This window comes from Homo sapiens, chromosome X, assembly GCF_000001405.40.
Source record: "Homo sapiens chromosome X, GRCh38.p14 Primary Assembly".
NCBI classification, from domain to species: domain Eukaryota; kingdom Metazoa; phylum Chordata; class Mammalia; order Primates; family Hominidae; genus Homo; species Homo sapiens.
In genome coordinates, this window is record NC_000023.11 from 68,089,568 (window position 1) to 68,110,892 (window position 21,325).

Below are 21,325 nucleotides of genomic sequence, written 5' to 3' on the forward strand. Positions count from 1 at the left end.
ATCATTTTTACTGTGATAATTATTATTACAGCCCCAGCTAGAGAGAGAAAAAGGGAAGGAGTGGATATTTTCACCTCATTCTGAATCATCGGCATAATTCCCAGAATCAAAAGGGGAATCTTTTCTGCTCTCTGAACATTGGAGCAAACCTCAGATCACAACTGCATCCTACATTTATCACCCTATCTCATTGGGTTTGGACATGCTTATTCACCTCAAACAGGGCCTGACTTCACTTCAAAGCTATAAGTAACTGGGCATTTGAAGAATGTGTGAAAGACCTCCACTTAGCCAAGGTGGAAAACTTGAAGCTACGTTTTCAAAGATTCATTGTAACTAATAAATACATCTGAAATCTCCCAATCTTAATAATTCTCTGCTCAAAGATATTTTTTCTCCAGGTTACGTTTTGATCTTAATATTCAAACTTAAAGATATTTTTTCTCCAGATTCAATTGAGAATGTTTGCCAAATTCCAAGCTAAATACATATTAGATTCACATGTAGAGACTAATGAAAATATCCTTACATGTACAGATAATAAAAATGTTATTTTCAATAACCTTTAGCTTAACCTTATCATTTCAGAAATTAAATGTGAAGTAGAGTCTTGGCTTAATTAGATTCTCTCTCTTTACACATACTGACGCCCACCCCCCACCAAGTGTGTGTGTCTGTGTGTGTGTGTGTGTGTGTGTGTGTGTGTGTAGGTAGGTAGATATAGAGATACATTCTAAAATACAAATGTATAAAATATAAATCTATACAGTAAAATCTATAAAGTATAACTATATATTTACATTTACTTATATTTTAAAATATCTATCTATCTATCTTATTCCAGAAATCAGTTGGAGGGACACATTCATCTGTTCTCTTGCTACCCTCTGGTGGCAGACTGAAATTCACAAACACCACCTTTTAGAGAAAGGAGAGACAGACCAGGACTGGAAGGGTCTGTTTCCTCTAGGTTGCTAGACTGGGTGTCTGAAAAGTATATAAATCAGAGCCATTTCTTAACAGGGTCTCTTGTTTGCCTTCTCAAATCCATTACATTGCTACGACATGGGCTTTTTTCCTGGATGAGGTCCCATTTGGCCATTTGGGAACATAGGCAACACTGGAGTTCCCACAAACTCCACACTGAGAATAACCCAGCTTTCTCCGGCCAGTTTATAGGAAGAACTGCCTTCAACCATCCATGTCTGCAGAAAAGACTATACCATTCAGTCTTCCATTTCCCTGAACCATATATCTTAAGCAGTAAGACTAAAATCCATTTTGACATACACCGATAATAGATTTTCTAATTATCTCAAAAATAATCAACTATTCTCCCAGAAAACTATACTTAACACAGTTAGGCAAGATCCTTCCTGTATGATTAAAAAGCAGATGCCCACCCACTAAAAAGGAAAGACTGGAAATAAGGAGGGAACTCAAGAGTAGCTAGAATAGCTAAGTCATCATCAATGATGCAAAGAAAAGCACAGCTCACATCTCAATAAAACAGGTCCCCCTTTCCCTGAGGGGCAGCCTTAACCTGATAGACCTAAACTTAAGTCTCAGCTTTGCCACTTACTACACTCAATGCCTCCATTTCCTATCTCAGAAATGGAAATACGATCCATCATTCACAGAGTTAGAAAAAGGACTAAACGAGCTGGAAATACGCTGTCCCACACTGATTCCATGTTCACTGAATACAAATCTAAGTCTACAGGGGCAGAACCACTGCTTTCTAGCTCTTTGAGAGTGGTCTTGGGAGCAATAAAGGAGGAAAACAGCTGATGCCAGGTTGTGTAGGTGAGAAAATGAGTTTGCAAAGCACAAGTTAGACAACTGGTAAAAGTTTGTGGCTGGTATCCGAGTTCTTTTATAAACTAGTTGGGAAGAACTGTGGGGGAGAGCTGATGTTCCAAACAGTAGACAAGCAGGAATGGAGCTGCAGAAATGCAAACCTGTTACCACTACCATGGCATGCGAAAAGAGGCTTCATATAAAATGAAAAGCTTGGACCTGAAGGTCTTTAGGGCCCCTTTCCAGTTCTAAAATTCAAATGGATCTACCCTATATTTTGTCCCCTTAGGTGAAATAGCTCTGTCCTCAAAACTAAATTGCTAAGAACCGCCTTCAGAGATGACCTCTCTCTTCCCCACTAATTCCTGGCAGCTCCCCAAAACAAAATGTTCGGAAAACAGAAGTCAACCTTCCTCTGTCAGTCCAAATTACCTCTATGCCTCAAGCCAACAACATGAGGTTCAGGCACCCTGATACATACTGCTAAGTGAGATGGGAAGAGAGAGAACTTCAGAATAATTGGCAATGTTGTTCTAGGGAATCAGTGTAGAGGTAGATCTTCCCCTATTATTTACCTACTTTCCAACTTAAAAAAGAAAAAAATTAGAAAAGATCATTCAAGTTGTTAAAAAAAAATTTTAAGCAAGACTTAGTAATAGACTCCTTTAAGCATCAACTCTTCTGATTCACTTACACTGTATTTACAGACCCTGGATGCTCTTAAAAGAGAGACTGAAAGAAAGGAGTAACAAAGAAAACTTAAAACCAATGTGTTTAAGCCCTTTTCTATTAAAGAGCAAGTGTAAATGGAAAAAACACATTACTGAAATTATAATATATTTCAACTGAAAAATCATACCCCATTAACTGAACAACTTGCCAGGAACATATAATCCCTATGTGTGAAGCAGCAACAGCTCTCACACATATTATCTCTTTTAATCCCACAACCACCATGTGAGGTTACACCTACATAAGGTCTAGAATTTCTGGAACATTCTCACCCATATATCATTCTGCTATTTTTCAAAAAAGGTAACTTGATAAGTATTTAATAAACTGGGATTTCATTTCATATCTCCATGTAAGATGTTTCATTTGAAATAAATTCATAAATCAGAAAAGATCCTTGGTTACCATGTCTTTGTTTGGAAAACATGGTCAGCGTACATCTCTGGTATCACACAAAGGTCAGAACTTCGACTACTTAACACATATTAACAGGTTACAACGGTGTGAAAATCTCACTTAACAGCTGACCACTAGTTAATAGAAATGGCCTCCTATTATATCCTGGGAATAAGAGATAACTAGCATTTAATTGCTTTTCAAATCATGCCACATAATATGCTTTGGACATAGCAAAATCACACTTTTATGAACTAGATTGGGATTGAGGTCATTTGCCAACCAACACATTTTCTAATAAAATTTAAGTTGGCATTTGCCCCTAAAAATGCATAGAATAAAAACAAAAGAAAAATTATTTTGTTATACTAATGATGAGATGCTGTGTCACTCCTTTATCCACTTATAAATGAATTAGGACATTTAAGATGCAATGAATCATCATATAATGAATGTTCAGAATATGCTTCCAAGGCTCCCTACTGCCTTCAGGATAAAGACCAAACTCCTTAGCCAAGCATACAAGACCCATGATCTGACCACCAAATGCTAGGATTAGAAAATTATTTTCTATCAAAAATCTTTACTATGTGGATGACCCTTCAGCAACTCTTGCCTCAAAGTTCCTTAGCTCTCTCATCTATAATGACCCTCACCTTCACTTACTTCAGGTACCCATTTGCAAAACACATAACAAAGATCTAGAGGTGGTAAAGTATACATTTGAACTGCCTGATTTCAAATTTGAGCTCCAACATTTACTTACTCCATGACCCTGGACAAGTCACTTAACTTCTCTGTACCTTGGTTTCTTCTTATGTGAAATGAGGTGTAAATGTGCTAATATGTGTAAAATGCTTTAAATAACTTTTTTTCAAATATTAATTAACATCCCTATAAAGGTTTTGTGTGGACATGTTTTCATTTCTTTGGGATAAATGCCCAGGAGTGTAAATGATGGATCCGATAGAAGTGCATGTTTAGTTTTTAAGGAACTCCAAAACTGTTTTCCAGAGCAGCCGCCCCATTTTATATTCCTACCAGAAATGTGTGAGAGATCCAGTTTTTGTGTACCCTTGTCAGCAGTTGGTATTGCCACTATATATTTTTTTAACGTTACCTATTCTAATAGGTGTGTAGAGATCTCTCATCATGGTCTTAATTTGTATTTCCCTAATGGCTAGTGATCTTGAACATCTTTTCATATACTTAATTGCCACGCATACGTCATGTTCATGTCTTTTGCCCACTTTCTAATTAGATTGAATTTTTGTGCTGTTGAGCTTTGAGAGTTCTTTGTATAGTCTAGATATTAATCCTTTGTCAGATACGTGGTTTGCAAATATTTTCTCCAAATCTCGGTAGCTTTTTTTTCCATCTTATTAATAGGGTCATTCACAGAGCAAAAATTTTTAATTTTGATGAAGTCAATTTATTGATTTTTTTTCTTTAATGGATTATGCTTTTGGTATCATGTCTCCTCAATAAGTCCTAGGCTCTAACAGTTTTCTATATTATCTTCTACAAGTTTTAGTTTTATGATTTATATGTAAATGTATGATCCTTTGTGAGCTCATTTTTATATAAAATGAGAGGTTTAGGTTGAGGTTCACTTTCATTACCTATAGAGCTGCAATTGCTCCAATACAATTCATTGAAATGACTACCCTCTCTCCCTTGAAATGCTTTTGTACCTTCATGAAAAATAATCAGGCCATACTCTGTAGGGCTATTTGTGGATTCTCTATTCTGTTCTATTTGTTTATGTAAGAAGTAGACAAGAGGACTTATCGGGTTACCTCTGCCAATTGTACACTGTCTTGACTACTGAAGCAATACAGTAAGCATTAATATTATTAATACCTACCTCCAGTTTATTATTTTTCAAAATTGTATTAGCCCTTACAGTTCCTTTCCATTTCTACATATATGTTAGTATTATCTTGTCTTTATCTACAAAAGCTCTTGCTGGGATTTTGATATTGATTACCTTAAACTTATAATTTTTAAAGAATTGACATCTTTATCATGTTGAGTCTTCCACTCCATGAACACAGTATGTATCTCAATTTATCTAGATTTTCTTTGACTTCCTTCATATTCTCCACATTGCAGCCAGAATAAGCCTGTTAAGCCTAAATCAAATCCTGTCACTCCCATGCTCAAAACCCCCCTTCTATCTTACCCAGGCAGAGCAAATCTAAAATTCTTCCAGTGGATTATAAGACTCCACTACAGGATCTAGTCTGTCCCTCTCCATTATCTCTTCGAGCCCATCTTTTTCTATTTCATCTTTTGCTTAATCCACTCTAGCTAGTCTGGCCTCCTTGTTGTACCGTGAATATGACAGGCACACTTCTGCCTCTGGGATTTTGCACTTACCATTTCCTCAGCCTAGAATCCTTTCTCTCTGGATAGGTGAATGAATCATTCCTCTACTCCCTATCGATCTCTGCTGAAAGGTCATCTTCTCTGTGAGGCCCTCCTCATTTCCTTATTTTCTCCTTTCCTATCTGTATTTAAAATTGCAAAACCACTTTCCAACCCTTCCTATTTCCCTTCTCTGCTTTTCTCCTTAATGTTCATTACAATCTAAAATATTATATACTTTACTTACTTTGAATACTATTTGTTTACTTTTTCTAAATATAAACTCTATGAAGATGATATCTAGAGTTCCTGAAACAGTACCTGGCATAAAGTGGGTACTCGACACATATTTGTTGGATGAATCAATTGATTTATCAATTTATCACATCTGGGCTCTAGAACAGGGGTCAGCAAATTACAGCCCACAGGCCTGTTTCCCATTTTGTAAATAGAATTTTACTAGAACACATCTACAACCATCTGTTTCCATATTGTCTATGGCTGTTTTCTCACTACAATGGCAAAGCTAAGTAGTTGTGACAGAAATCCATGGCCTGCAAAGGCTTAAGTATTTATTATACGGTCCTTTAAGGAAAAGCTTTCTGATCCCTGCTTTAGATTCACATAGTCAACTGCTCGCCAGGCATTGCTCCCTGGATGTCTTTCACAAATCTCAAATGCGACCTGTTCCAAACTGAACTTTCCTCTATCTCCCTCAAACTTTCCCATTCTGAATTTCTTATATGTATAAGGACAGCCCCATCCACCCAGTCAGCCAAGTCAGAAAATCAGGATTCAGAAATCTCCCTCTCCCCCATCCTTGGTGACTTCCAGTCACCAAGTCCTGCTGCTTTTGCCTCCCTGTGCTTCTTTATTGAATTATGCTTTTCCCTAGGATGGCACTAGCTGCTATGAAGCTTATACCCCAGTGTGCAGGGCCATCTGTTGCAAGTGTACAAGAATTTGTCAATAAATATTTGTCTTAACCTCATTCTGGGCATCATTTTCTGACTCTACCTTTGTTTTACCTTTTGTACTTGACCTGATTATAATGTATGATGCCTTATATTTTATGTGCAATATAAAATATGCTACCATATATACTTTTGGAATGAGATGGGGTTCGAATAAGTGTAAGCATTGATTTCTTTTTAGTTTTGATGGAGTTCAGGACCTGCTATCCCAAAATATGGCACTTTGGCGTTTGTGGAAACAGCAGAAGCAAGAAGGTTTCTCTACCTTCTCCCCTGGAGCAGGCCATAAAAGAATTCTCTGACCTTCCTCTGAAGTAGGTCATTCCAGAGGTACCCTCCCTATAACTGAAGGAAAAGAACATCCCTATCCTCGAAGACACAGAAACACCAAGAAGAATCTGAACAAACAAGCCTTGCTAAGATCCCCCTAAGTTTATTACCATTAGATCATATCCTTCTGTCTTCTAATCACTAATCTTCACAACGATCCATTTCATCAAACTTAGTATAAAAAATGCAAGAGTTTACCTGCTTCTTTGGGTCTTCATTTCTAAAGGTTCTTGTGTCATGTAAAACTTATTAAATAAATTTGTATGCTTTTCTCTTGTTAATCGGTCTTTTGTTATAGGGATCTCAGCCATGAAACTAGCAATGGGTGAGAACATAAATATCTTCTCCCCTACAGTTTCATTGTATATAGACTACTTTTATACTATCATTTTCCTATTTACCCATCTGTCTCCATACTACACATTGTTAACACCTTAAAGGCACAGACAGTGACTTTTTCTTCTTCATTACCCCCAGTATTTAGCATGGTGTCTGAAAATAATATAGTTATAAGCTTAAGCAATGTTTGCTGAATGAATGAATTTCCCAGGGTCAGAGTTGCCATTAAATGTCATTGTGTCATAATGGGATTTCCTTTCACTGTCAACGTGAGCCAAGGAGGAAGACACAGCACTAAAAGGCAGTTGGGGGAAAGTGTCACATGTTTGGAAGACAGGTAGTGAGAATAGAAAATGCATACCTTGCCAAAGTGCTCGATTAGTATTTCCACCACTATGTTCTGGAATTTGATGTTCATCATGGCGGCCACAGTGTCCTCCTGAGCTCTCATCAGGGTGGGCCCAAAGATTACTCCCATGTTGGAGGGGGTCATAAGATTCTCTTTGCTGTGCTCACACACACTGCCAGAAGAAAAGGGGCAAGATTAACAAAATTTGCTCCAGTATCCCCTTACAACCAAGACTGTTTTAGGTGCTGTAGAGGGTAAGAGAAACTAAAATGTAGAAGGAAAGGAGCACCTAAAGTATGTATTGGAAGGCAAGATTACAAAGGAAACAATCAGCAAAGAATACAAGATAGTATAAAATTAGGAATCAAAGTGGTTAGACATAGCTAACCTAGCTAACAGCATTGAAGGAATTAAGAGACAGACAGGGATGTGGGGAGGGACTAAAGCTAGTGGGATACTATTTGGAGAGGCAGGAGGGAAGCAAGAGGACATTCAAAGCAAGAGGAACAGCCCATATAAGTATAAAGCATGTACAAAGAACCACAAAGCACATTGAGAGAATGCCTACTAGTCTCTTAAATCAGCCCCTTCCTGACCCCCGTTAGAGAAGCAAAAACCTGAAAGAGCTGAAAGGGATCATTAAGACTTGCCCTTGATCATCTTCCTTATTTTACAGATGAAAAAACATAGGCCCAAAGAAGGAAAGGAATTTGCTCGAAGTCACAGTCAATTAGCTGTAGAGTAGAACGTGCAATCCCAGATTTTCTGATCCCTAGTCACTTTCATTGCTTAAATTCCCTTTAGTGGCTTCCTACTTTGGGATAGGGCCAATTCTCTTCAAAGTGACAAATGAGGCCTTCCATAACTTGAGTAACTTGACCCCTATTTCCAATCCCTACTCACTGCTTAGGCTCTGAAGCTGGGTTTGAATCCCAACACGGCCACTTACCAGCTGCGCAACAGTGAGTTCACTCACTCTAACCTCTCTGAACTTCAGTTTTCCCACCTGGGAAAATAGCACCCACTTCAGAGAGTTGTTGAATAAATAAAGATAAATTGCTTCAGCATGGTACCTGGCACCCTGGGAAGTATCTGTTGTTATTATTACCTCTCCAGGAGCCTTCAGGTACTGCTGACCTCTGACACTCTTGTTATACTAAACTGCTTAGATTGGGGTTGTCTGGTTATACCACATTGTTTCAGACCCCCATACCTCTCTGCTCATGTCGTTCTCTCTACCTGGAATATCCCCCCTCTCCCTACATCTACAAAATGTCTATCTATCCTTGGAGATGCACATAACGTTACATCTCCTTCAGGGAGACCAGAGCCCACTGTGCTCATCTTAACTAAAACCACTGGCAAGCAGAGTAAGTTGCAATTTTCCGTTTACTTATCTGCCTCTCCTACTAAATGATAAACAACTTCCAAGTGTGTGTGCCTGCCACACAGCAGGTACTAATGAATTATTTGTAAAGGAATTGAGCTCCCTAGTGCTGTTTCAAACAGTCCTGGAGGCAGCCAAGTAAAAGGCAAGAATCTCTTTTGGTCAGTTTGGCTGTAGGAACAGCCCAACTGACTACCCGAAACACTCACTCTCCACACCTACCAAGGCTAAGGCCCAGAAGAGAATGGCAGGTTCTTAACACTGAGTGGGTAATTGAGGAGGACAGAATCCTTAGACAAATCTTAATGTGAAGTCTGTTAAGCCCTAGACAAAGCTGAGTACCATTCAGATGGAAATGAACAGCAACCATTCATAGCTTTTGATATTGCTGGGCTGGTGATGTGTTCCTTTTAACAGTTTCAATACCCCTGCAATTAATCTTTATTCTTTAGTGACGGAAGTTTTTTTCAGATATTAAAATGGAAAAGTATCTCCATGCTAACACCAAGTGACCCTAAAAGGCTAAACCACAAGGGCACTTGTGTATCTCCTTTTGTGAACTTTGAAAGGAACTGATCTTTGTTCAGTGTCCCAGCAGCTCACAGAATCATCACAACTCCAAAAAGCAGAGTATTTTAGCTTTGAAGCCTAGGTTTACCAAGAGCAAAGCACTTGGCAAGGTCATATGGCAAGGCAGAGATTCAAGCCCATATTTGTTGCTCCCCAAGTCTTATAGTTATCCCATTGCATCCCACTGCCTGCTTGTCTAACTTTTCTGGAGAAATCAAAACTCATATGTGAGCTCTTCTAAGCTAAAGCCACCTTCTGATTCTCTGAGGGAGTTACTTGGCATCCCATTTAGGATACTCTTCCTTCTTGGCCTTCTTATGAGATTTGGAAGTTCACCTATTCTTTGGGGAAATTGCTTTGCATTTAGTGTCTCTCTTTTTATTATATATTTTGAAAATCAGTATGGGGGATAAGTAACATTCCAAATTGTGGGTTAACAAGATGAATGAAACCAAAAACAAGAGTATGTGATGTTATTTGACAGCAAAGGAATCTTGAACTCTCTAGTCCACTGAGGTTGGTTGTGAGAAGCCTCCAGTACAGAATAAAATGATTCTGATTGCATGGTTTAGATTAGAGGTCATAAATTTAAATGTCTAGAGGGGCAAGGCAGGTAACTTACATGAGAGAAATGGGCCTGGTGAGAAGTGGCTGCCACATTTAAACAAGCAGACATTCTTTAGACCACCATTTTCCCGCCACTCACTTAGAGACACACCATCAACAGAATAACTTCTAGTTTTAAGAAAGGGAAATTCCTAGGTCACATCTAATGTAACTCTAATATAATATTTGTTAAAACACTTGGGAGTGGTGAGGGCTATGGCAAATTAGAAGCTTGTGCCCATTCCAAAGCAAGAAACCATTACTCAACCCCAACTGATTGCTGCCACGTGGGCATGCAGATCCAGTGTGCTAACATCCTCTTTTTTTCCTGAAATGTATATTTTGATGTGAACTATCTGGATTTTTTAAATGTTGAAGCCAAATCACTTTTTTCCCAAAACACTGCAGGACAAATAAAATATATTTCTGGTCTGGACCTTGTCAACAGATTGCCAGACTGAGACCTCTGGCAGAATGAGAGGCTATCTGTATGAACTTTTAGGTCTCGCCCAGCTTTAGCATCCAACAATTCTAAGAACTGTGTGCCCTCTGACTCCTAAACAAGGAAGCTACCTTCAATATTTTTTGGTTCTTTTACTAAAGTATTGTGTCTCTGGGCCTATCTTTTTCCATCCTTAGGTATCTGTTCCCTCATCTGTAAAATGAAGTTATTAGGTGATCTAAGGGGACTTCCAGCTCTGACAATTAAGTGAATCTCAGAAAGTAGTGCTCTCGAAAATAATTGGGGGCAAAGACAACCACACACTGTGTGTCCCCTGTTAGAAGAACATAGAACCATCTATTAAGTATGCTTGCCTTTCCCACCCTATACATACATACATACACGCACACACACGCACACACACATACACACACACACACCCCAGAAACACAAAACTAAAAAGGAAGCAGAAATCTGAACACAGAATAATGGATAATATTATTACATTATTACTCATTTCTTTTTAGATGTGATGTTATGTTTATAAACAGTTCTAATCTTTTCAAGACAAACTGAAATATTTGTGGATGAAATAATATGATGTCTTAGATTTGATTCAAAATAACATGGGAGGAGGGGAAATGGGTGGGGAAATAGATGAAACAAGATTGGCCATGTGTTGATTACAGTTGAAGGAGGGGTGATGGACACATAATACTTCCCTATACTGTTTCTTCTATTTTCATATATACTTGAAATCTTACATAATAAAAAATTCTTCAAAAGGAAAAGACAATAGTGAAGGCGAGAGTGAATCAGTGTCACAAGCAAACAGGTCCCTATCCCCAAGGATGGTGCCTTTTTTTTATTTTTTATTTTTATTTATTTATTTATTTATTTTTGAGATGGAGTCTCACTCGGTCACCCAGGCTGGAGTGCAGTGGCGCGATCTCGGCTCACTGCAACCTCCGCCTCCCGGGTTCATGCCATTCTCCTGCCTCAGCCTCCCGAGTAGCTGGGACTACAGGTGCCCGCCACCATGCCCGGCTAATTTTTTGTACTTTTAGTAGAGATGGGGTTTCACCATGTTAGCCAGGATGGTCTCAATCTCCTGACCTCGTGATCCGCCCGCCTCGGCCTTCCAAAGTGCTGGGATTACAGGCGTGAGCCACCGTGCCCAGCGAAATGGTGCCTTTTTTTAAAGGGCTGACAGCTTTGGCTTCCTCCACTGGTGTTATATTATCTGTCATTTACTTTAAATACTTCAACAAAGTCCATACGATGTCATGAATTTCATCAGTCATCAGTTACGAGCACATTATTTATGTACCACTAAGAAAGAAAAGTAATTTCATTGTCATATCATCATGTAATATTTTTGAAGACATTTTAAATAGAAAATAAACTCAACAATGAACATAATTTAACTTAAGTGACTATAATATGAGCAGCTATTACAAGTTCATGCATATGGAGGCCATGATAATTACATCAAAACTGCTGCCTGATAAGTGTAATTTTAAGAAACCATTGATTTTCAGATGTGTACAGAATTCAGATTACAATTTGAGAAAAAGTGTTATTAGAACTGATGAAATTTGGTTTATGTGCTTGTTAGTTTTCATGTATACTCTAACATGTATAACGTATTAGTTATAATTGTAGTATTCTAATTGTGAATACACGCATACTCTAGGGGTGATTAATGAGTATTTAAAGACTCAGGTAAAAGTCAGAGGGGCTCCTGTAAGTTTCAGCTAACATTATCTCCAACCAACACCAAAGGCTTTGTTAATGAGCATAACATAAGGTAAAAATGAATTATCATTGCCTAGATGTATTAAAGACATATGGACTAGCTGAAAATATTGTACAGACACTCTCAGCCCTGCATTGACAGGGTAGAAAAATATAGCAATGGTTAATCTTAACATCAGTAAGGTGAATCAACCAATCTTATGCATCTTCAGATGTGATGCAGCATATGGTGTATACAACATCACATGTGATTTGTTCCAGCCAACAAATAGTTAACTGGAATCCATCTAGCCTTTAGATATAACCTCTACTTTACAAAACATACAAGAAGTAGAGTAATTAGCTGAAATATATGACAAAGAAGAAAGCAGACAAAACTAGGAAGTAACATTCTACAGGACAATTGGTCTTCTCTTGTTGGTAAAACAGTATCATAAAAAAAGGCACTGGGCAGGGGCCATGCTAATCTTCTCTGTATCGTTCCAATTTTAGTATATGTACTGCCAAAACACTCCTCAGCAAATGCAAAATAACAGAAATCATAACAAACAGTCTCTCAGACCACAGTGCAATCAAATTAGAACTCAGGATTAACAAACTCACTCAAAACCACACAACTACATGGAAAGTGAACAGCCTGCTCCTGGGTGACTACTGGGTAAATAACAAAATTAAGGCAGAAATAAATAAGTCCTTTGAAACCAATGAGAACAAAGACACAAAATTCCAGAATCTCTGGGACACAGCTAAAGCAGTATTCGCAGGGAAATTTATAGCATTAAATGTCCACAGGAGAAAGCGGGAAAGATACAAAATCGAAACACTAACATCACAATTAAAAGAACTACAGAAGCAAGAGCAAACAAACTGAAAAGCTAGCAGAACACAAGAAATAACTAAGATCAGAGCAGAACTGAAAAAGATAGAGACACAAAAAATGCATTAAAAAAAATCAATGAATCCAGGAGCTGGTTTTTGAAAAGATTAACTAAACAGATAGACTGCTAGCCAGACTAATAAAGAAGAAAAGAGAGAAAAATCAAATAGACACAATAAAAAATGATAAAGGGGATATCACCACTGATACCACAGAAATATAAACTACCATCAGAGAATACTATAAATACCTCTACACAAATAAACTAGAAAATCTAGAAGAAATGGATAAATTCCTAGACACCTACACCCTCCCAAGACTAAACCAGGAAGAAGTTGTATCCCTGAATAGACCAATAACAAGTTCTGAAATTGAGGCAGAAATTGATAGCCTACCCACCAAAAAAACCCCAGGACCAGACGGATTCACAGCCAAGTTCTACCAGAGGTACAAAGAGGAGCTGCTACCATTCCTTCCAAAACTATTCCAAACAATAGAAAAAGAGGGAATCCTCCCTAACTCATTTTGTGAGGCCAGAATCATCCTGATACCAAAACCTGGCAGAAGACACAACAACAACAAAAACTTTCAGGCCAATATCCCTGATGAACATTGATGCGGAAATCCTCAATAAAATACTGGCAAACCGAATCCTGCAGTGCATCAAAAAGCTTATCCACCACGATCAAGTTGGCTTCATCCCTGGGATGCAAGGGTGGTTCAACATATGCAAATCAATAAATGTAATCCATCACATAAACAGAACCAATGACAAAAACCACATAATTATCTCAATAGATGCAGAAAGGGCCTTTGATAAATTTGAAAATCACTTCATGCTAAAAACTCTCAATAAACTAAGTATTGATGGAACATATCTCAAAATAATAAGAGATATTTATGACAAATCAACAGGCAATATGATAGTGAATGGGCAAAAGCTGGAAGCATTCCCTTTAAAAACCGCCACAAGACAAGCATGCCCTCTCTCACCACTCCTATTCAACATAGTATTGGAAGTTCTGTCCAGGGAAATCGGGAAAGAGAAACAGAAACAGAACCAATGACAAAAACCACAGGATTATCTCAATAGATGCAGAAAAGGCTTTTGATAAAATTCAACACCCTCCATGCTAAAACCTCTCAATAAACTAGGTGTTGATGGAACGTATCTCAAAATAGTAAGAGCTATTTATGACAAACCCACAGCCAATATTATATTGAATGGGCAAAAGCTGGAAGCATTCCCTTTGAAAATAGGCACAAGACAAGGATGCCCTCTCTCACCACTCCTATTCAACATAGTATTGGAAGTTCTGGCCAGGGCAATCAGGCAAGAGAAAGAAATAAAGGGTATTCAAACAGGAAGAGAGGAAGTCAAATTGTCTCTGTTTGCATATGACATGATTGTATATTTAGAAAACCCCATGGTCTCAGCCCAAAATCTCCTTAAGCTGATAAGCAAATTCAGCAAAGTCTCAGAAAACAAAATCAATGTGCAAAAATCACAAGCATTCCTATACACCAATAACAGAAAGCCAAATCATGAGTGAACTCTCATTCACGACTGCTACAAAGAGAATAAAATACCTAGGAATACAACATGCAAGGGACGTGAAGGGCCTCTTCAAGGAGAACTACAAACTGCCACTCAAGGAAATAAGAGAAGACACAAACAAATGGAAAAACATTCCATGCTCATGGATTGGAAGAATCAATATCATGAAAATGGCCTTACTGCCCAAAGTAATTTGTAGATTCAATGCTATCCCCATCAAGCTACCATTGACTTTCTTCACATAATTAGAAACAACTACTTTAAATTTCATATGGAACCAAAAAAGAGCCCATATAGCCAAGACAATCCTAAGCAAAAATAACAAAGCTGGAGGCATCATGCTACCTGACATCAAACTATACCACAAGGCTACAATAACCAAAACAGCATTGTCCTGGTACCAAAACAGATATATAGACCAATGGAATAGAACAGAGGCCTCAGAAATAACACCACACATCTACAACCATCTGATCTTTGACAAACCTGCCAAAAACAAGCAATAGGGAAAGGATTCCCTATGTAATAAATGGTGTTGGGAAAACTGGTTTGCCATATGCAGAAAACTGAAACTGGACCCCTTCCTTAGACCTTATAGTTAACACAAGGTGGATTAAAGACTTAAATGTAAGACGTAAAACCATAAAAACCCTAGATAAAAACATAGGCAATACCATTCAGGACATAGGCATGCGCAATGACTTCATGACTAAAACAGCAAAAGCAATGGCAACAAAAGTCAAAATTGACAAAGGGGATCTAATTAAACTAAAGAGATTCTGCACAGCAAAAGAAACTATCATCAGAGTGGACAGGCAACCTACAGAATGGGAGAAAATTTTTGCAATCTATCCATATGATAAAGGGCTAATATCCAGAATCTACAAGGAACTTAAATTTACAAGAAAAAAACAAACAACCCCATCAAAAAGTGGGCGAGGGAAATGAACAGACACTTTTCAAAAGAACACATTTATGAGGCCAAGAAACATATGAAAGAAAGCTCATCATCATTAGTCATTAGAGAAATGCAAATCAAAACTGCAATGAGATACCATCTCACGCCAGTTAGAATGGCAGTCATTAAAAAGTCAGGAAACAACAGATGCTGGAGAGGATGTGGAGAAATATGAATGCTTTTACTCTGTCGGTGGGAGCATAAATTAATTCAACCATTGTGGAAGACAGTGTGGTGATTCCTCAAGGATCTAGAACCTGAAATACCATTTGACCTGGTAATCTCATTACTGAGTATATACCCAAAGGATTATACATCATTCTACTATAAAGACACATGTACACGTATGTTTATTGCAGCACTATTCACAATAGCAAAGATTTGGAACCAACACAAATGCCCATCAGTGATAAACTGGATAAAGAAAATGTGGCACATATACACCATGGAATACTACGCAGCCATAAAAAAGGATGAGATCATGTCCTTTGCAGGGACATGGATGAAGCTGGAAACCATCATTCTCAGAAAACTAACATAGGAACAGAAAACCAAACACCACATGTTTTCACTCATAAGTGGGAGTTGAACAGTGAGAACACATGGACACAGGGAGGGGAACATCACACACTGGGGCCTGTCGGGGGGTGGGGGGCTAGGGGATGGACAGCATTAGGAGAAATACCTAATGTAGATGATGGGTTGATGGGTGCAGCAAACCACCATGGCACGGGTATACCTATGTAACAAACCTGCACGTTCTGCACATGTATCCCAGAACTTAAAGTATAATAATAATAATAATAGAAACAAGCACTGTGCTAGATTAAAAACACAATAAGGACATAAATAAAATGTGTTCCTATATTGAATACCAGATTGGACAAACACCTATAAAAGGCCACTTTTGGGTCAAATGGGAAAAAGTTAATATGGTCTGGAAAAGTCAAAATTGTTAAAATGGAAAAAGTAGACTAAAGAACAGCATAATCTCATTTTGGTAAAAAAAAATGCAAACAGGTATGTGTATACAAAAATGCATGCACACACACACACAACGAGAGAGAGAAAAAGAGGGAGAGAGAGAGAGAAGAGAGAGAGAGAGAGAGAGATCCGAAAAAACCTGAACTATATTAACAGTAATGATTATTGAATGTTGGGAATAGAAAGCTTTTCCTTTTTTTTTTTTTTTTTGCTTTTTAAAAATTTTCTAATTTATACAATGCACAGTATTGCTTCTCAAATAAGAGAAGTATTATTACAAAAGTAAAAAGAACCTAGTAAGCTAATAACCCATACCCTTCAGAATGGTAGCCCAGGCCTAAGGTTACATAGGGGTACTAGATGGTAGGATTTTATTGTCTGACTCCAATCTTATCTGCCTCCAGTGAACCTTTCATCCAAGATGTTGTCAGGCAGGGCATCTGAAAGGACAGAGAGCTGGGACTTCATTTGAGTTTGCAGAACAGGTTGTTCAAGTCTTTTTTCGTCTGCCTGCTGATAAATAGCTATAAGAATGGCAGAATTAGGCCTGGAGCTTGCTTCCATTGTAATATTCCACTGGTAGTAAGATTGCCAGGGAGGTGGCCTTAGAGTTCTCCTACTTCTGACTAATAGAAGCTACAGATACTAACCAAAAAGAACTGGATAACTGAGAACCTCAAATTGGCTAAGGTCAGTTTGGTTCTGCCTGTTATTAGCCTAGAAAACAGGCTGTCAGTGGAAACACAGTACAAAGGCATAGATGTACTCATCATATAGATGATGAAAGCAGCAGTTGACAGGCAAGATAATTATGTGCATTTTAAAAACACTTGAATTTTCTTCTCCTGTGTAAATTTCTCTATTGAAACTAAGCCTATTTTTTATTTACATTTCCCTACAATTTTCATTATAAACATTTTCAAACATACAAAACAGTTGAAAGAGTGGTACTAGGAAGACTCATACTGTCTATACCTAGACTCAAAAATTAACATATTGCCATATTTGCTTTTATTCTGTCTATATTTTTTCTTAATCCTCTGAAAGTACATTGCTTCAACCCTAAATACTTCAGCATTCATCATCAAAGAATAAGCACATTTTCCTACAAAACCACAATAACATGTTTGCATCTTAGAAAACGTAGATTCTATATCATCTAATATCTAGTCCATATTCAAATTTTCTCAAATGTTATGGGAGAAAAAGTCTTTTATAGCTGCGTTTTTCAAATTTGGATCCAAACAAAGCTCTTATACTGTATTTGTTTGTTTCTTTAGTCTCTTTATGTAGAACAGTACCTCTACCACTTTTTCCCACAACATTGACTTTTTGAAAAGTCCAAGCCTTTTCAAAAGCTTTATAGACTGTCAAATACTGTGTGTTTTTCTATACTCTTTATTTCCTGCAAATTGGAAAGAATTAATTTGATTCAGGCTACGTATTTTTGGCAAAAATATTTCACAGTTAATGTTTTATAATTTTTATTATGTCTAATTAGGAGGTACATAAGGTGGTTTGTTCCATTATTTACAATGGCACAATCTCGGCTCACTGCAACCTCTGCCTCCCAGGTTCAAGCAATTCTCCCACCTCAGCCTCCAGAGTAGTTGGGATTACAGGCATCCACCATCATGCTCAGCTAATTTTTGTGTTTTTGTGGAGACGGAGTTTCACCATGTTGGCCAGGCTGGTCTCGAACTCGTTACCTCAGGTGATCCACCCGCCTCGGCCTCCCAAAGTGCTAGGATTACAGGCCTGAGCCACTGCACTTGGCCTGTTCCGTTATTACTGATGCTAACTTTGATCAATTACTTAAGGTGGTGTCTGCCAGATAGGTTCATTGTAAAGATACATTGTTTTTTATTTGTGATTAGTAAGTAACTTGTCAGTAATACACTGGAATAATGTGAACATCCTATTCCTCAATACTCTTGCCCAATAGTTTTGATTCATGTCTAAAACAGATCACTTAGATTGCAAACTAATGATTTTTCTAATTCTGTCATTCCTCCTATGTTTATTAGCTGGTATTCCTTCTGCAATAAAGAGATTTCCTTCCTCTACCCACCTCCAGGAGTTTTGTTTTTCAACATGTAATAATCAAATACATTATTTATTGTTATTGATGTTCAGGTTGGCTCAAACATCATCAGTGTCAGCCCTTTCAAGGTTTCTACGTCCTTTGGACATGACACTATTAGTGTGACTCTGTTCTTTCTTGCTTGGTGGTACTATTTATCCAAGACTAACTTTGTATTTTCCTTGCTCCAGACATGCAATCAGCCATTTCTCTAAGCACCCCTGATTCCTTTGAAAAGGAAATGCTATTTAAAAACAAAAAACTGGGCACTAAGTGTATTCACTTCTTTTTGGGTAGAATCCCTTCGACACTGTTTCAGTGGATAAAGTTTTTTCTTCTTGTTGCTTTCTCTTTAAATCATGAATTCATATTAACATTCTTAATTTAATTTTAATGTTAAAATTTTTTTTCCTTATGTCTTTTTTATCAGTATCTCTTTTGTACACTATAAACTTAGCTTGTGATAACATTAACATATTTACTTTTTTGCTTTATCTTTATAAGATCTGTGTGTTTGTTTCAAGTTAAATTATATTACTACTATTAATAAACCTACTGAGTGTTGCTTAAAATTTTGCTCTTCTTGTTTCTAGAGTACATCTCATTAAGGATGAGTCAGAGGACTGTGTTGACACGTTAGTTGAAATAATTGCTTTCTCTCTGTAATTATGCTATCAAGTTGATAAACACTTAGGTTCATTAAAGTCATTTGCTTTTATTGGTGTTCAGTTTTACGGTTTATAATTTTTGATTTAATTTTCTTTTTTGGATATGTAAAACATTAATATGGCTTAATAGTCATAAGTATATAAGGAGGTATACTTAGAGGAATCTAGCTCTTACCCCTATCACCTCCACCCTACTTACCACACCTATCCAGTATAATAACCACTTTCATTAGTTTATTTTTATAATACATTTATTGAAATATATTTTACATATCAGAAAATTCACCTTTTTAAAGGTTATAATTAAGTGGTTTTTAGTATATTCACGGAGCCGTGCAACTGTCACCCCTTATATAATTCCAGAAATTTTCATCATTCCAAAAAGAAACCTCATACTCATTATCAATTACTCCCCATTACTTCTCATACCCCCACTTCCCAGACCTTGCCAACCACTCATCTACTTTCTTTCTCTATAGATTTGTCTACTCTGAACATTTCATATCAATGAAATCATATAAAATATGTACTTTTGTGTCTTGTTTTTTTTCACTTAGCATAATGCTTTTAGTGTTTATCCATGTTGTGGCATGTATCAGTACTTCATCCTTTTTTATGGCTGAATAATATTCCATTGCCTGTATATCACATTTTGTTTACCTATTCATTAGTTAACAGACATTTGGGTTGTTTCCACTTTTCAACAACTATGAAATAATGCTGCTATGGACATTTGTGTACAAGATTTTGTGTGGAGACATGTTTTCATTTATCTTAGGTATATACCTAGGAGTGGAGTTGCTGGATCTATGGCAACTCTACATTTAACTTTTGGAGTCATTAGTTTTTTTTAAATTTATCTTAGTGTATGCTTCATTTGACAAATTTTTTTAAATGTGTGTGTATTCTTACATATTCTTATTTTCCTCTTTTTTCTTACAAAAGAAAAGCTAGCATATTATAAACCTTGTTTTACAGCCAGAGATTTTTTATGATGTTTGTTTTACGTGCTGGAAAATTGTAATATATCCCAGAAAATCACCACAAAACAAAGTTCATAGAGATCTTCCTCATTCTTTTCTTAAATTACTGCATAATACTACACTGTTGAATACACCCTTATTTACTCGACTAGTCCCCTATTTTCAGATACTTGTGTTGTTTCCAATCTTTTGCTTTTGAAAATTGTGCTGCAATGAGAAATCTTGTGCATGTGTTGTTTGTATTGGTGGAGGTGTATCTTTAGAGTATACGCCTTAAAAAAAAAGCTAACATATCATATACCCTGTTTTACGCTGTTTTGCTGGGTCAAAGGATAACTGAATGTGTAGATTTGTTAGGTACTGCCAAATCCCCTCTTCTGGAACTGTACTGCATTAATACAATAAATGTATTAGAGGACAGTTTCCCCATAGTCTAATTAATAAGCATTAGGATTTGACAATAAATGGTAGCTCAGTATAGGTTTAATTTGTATTTTTGTTACTATGAGTGAGCTTGAGCATATTACCACATACTTAAGAGTATTTGCCATTCTATTTCTGTGATCTATTTGTTCATGTCTTCTTTTGATTTCAAGATTTTGAGGACTAAGATTCTTAAAGTAAGCCAAGCAGCCAGCCTTTGGGCAGATAGAGGCAGGCACCCTGATGCTCACTAAGCACGGGCATCCTCAATTGAGTCCTTGGGTCTCGTCACATGTTGAGACTCTCAGAAAGTCAGAGCTGAGAAAACCCTTTGAGATTAGCTGCTTCAGTCTCTTCGTGTTATAGATGCACAAACCTGTGGCCCAGAGAGTGGGAGGAACTTTCTCTAGGTCACACAGCATATTTGTGACAGATCTGGAACTTGGACTCAAAGACTCCTCCAGGGCAACTTTAAATTAACATGCAAATAGCTTCTTTGCTGATTTTTGTACATTTACTGAGATGATCACAAACTACTTTTTGGAGACCACATGCCTCTTAATGTTCTCTATTAGCTCAAATTGCAAACACTGGCAATAAATATAAAAGCCATTCTCTCTTGTTAATTCTGCTTATTACCTACATCAGTGTCCACAATATTCATTTGCTATAGAAGTGTAGAAAACAGTCTTTGAAAGTCAGAGCTGAATCAGATCTTGGAGATCTCACATATAATAG

At 37.3% G+C, this 21,325-nt stretch overlaps 1 protein-coding gene and 1 pseudogene across 7 annotated transcripts in view; both read right to left on the reverse strand.

Moving 5' to 3' along the window:
• The window catches only part of OPHN1 (oligophrenin 1), a 391,498-nt gene that overhangs the window by 47,224 nt on the left and 322,949 nt on the right, over positions 1–21,325 (reverse strand). For all 7 annotated transcript variants that reach the window (XM_011530961.2, NM_001437258.1, XM_006724653.3 and 4 more), the window contains one exon: positions 7,303–7,462. In XM_011530961.2, the coding sequence (XP_011529263.1) occupies positions 7,303–7,462 (160 nt within the window). The remainder of the gene's footprint in view (positions 1–7,302; positions 7,463–21,325) is intronic.
• On the reverse strand, positions 12,501–12,565 carry RNU6-1225P (RNA, U6 small nuclear 1225, pseudogene; annotated as a pseudogene).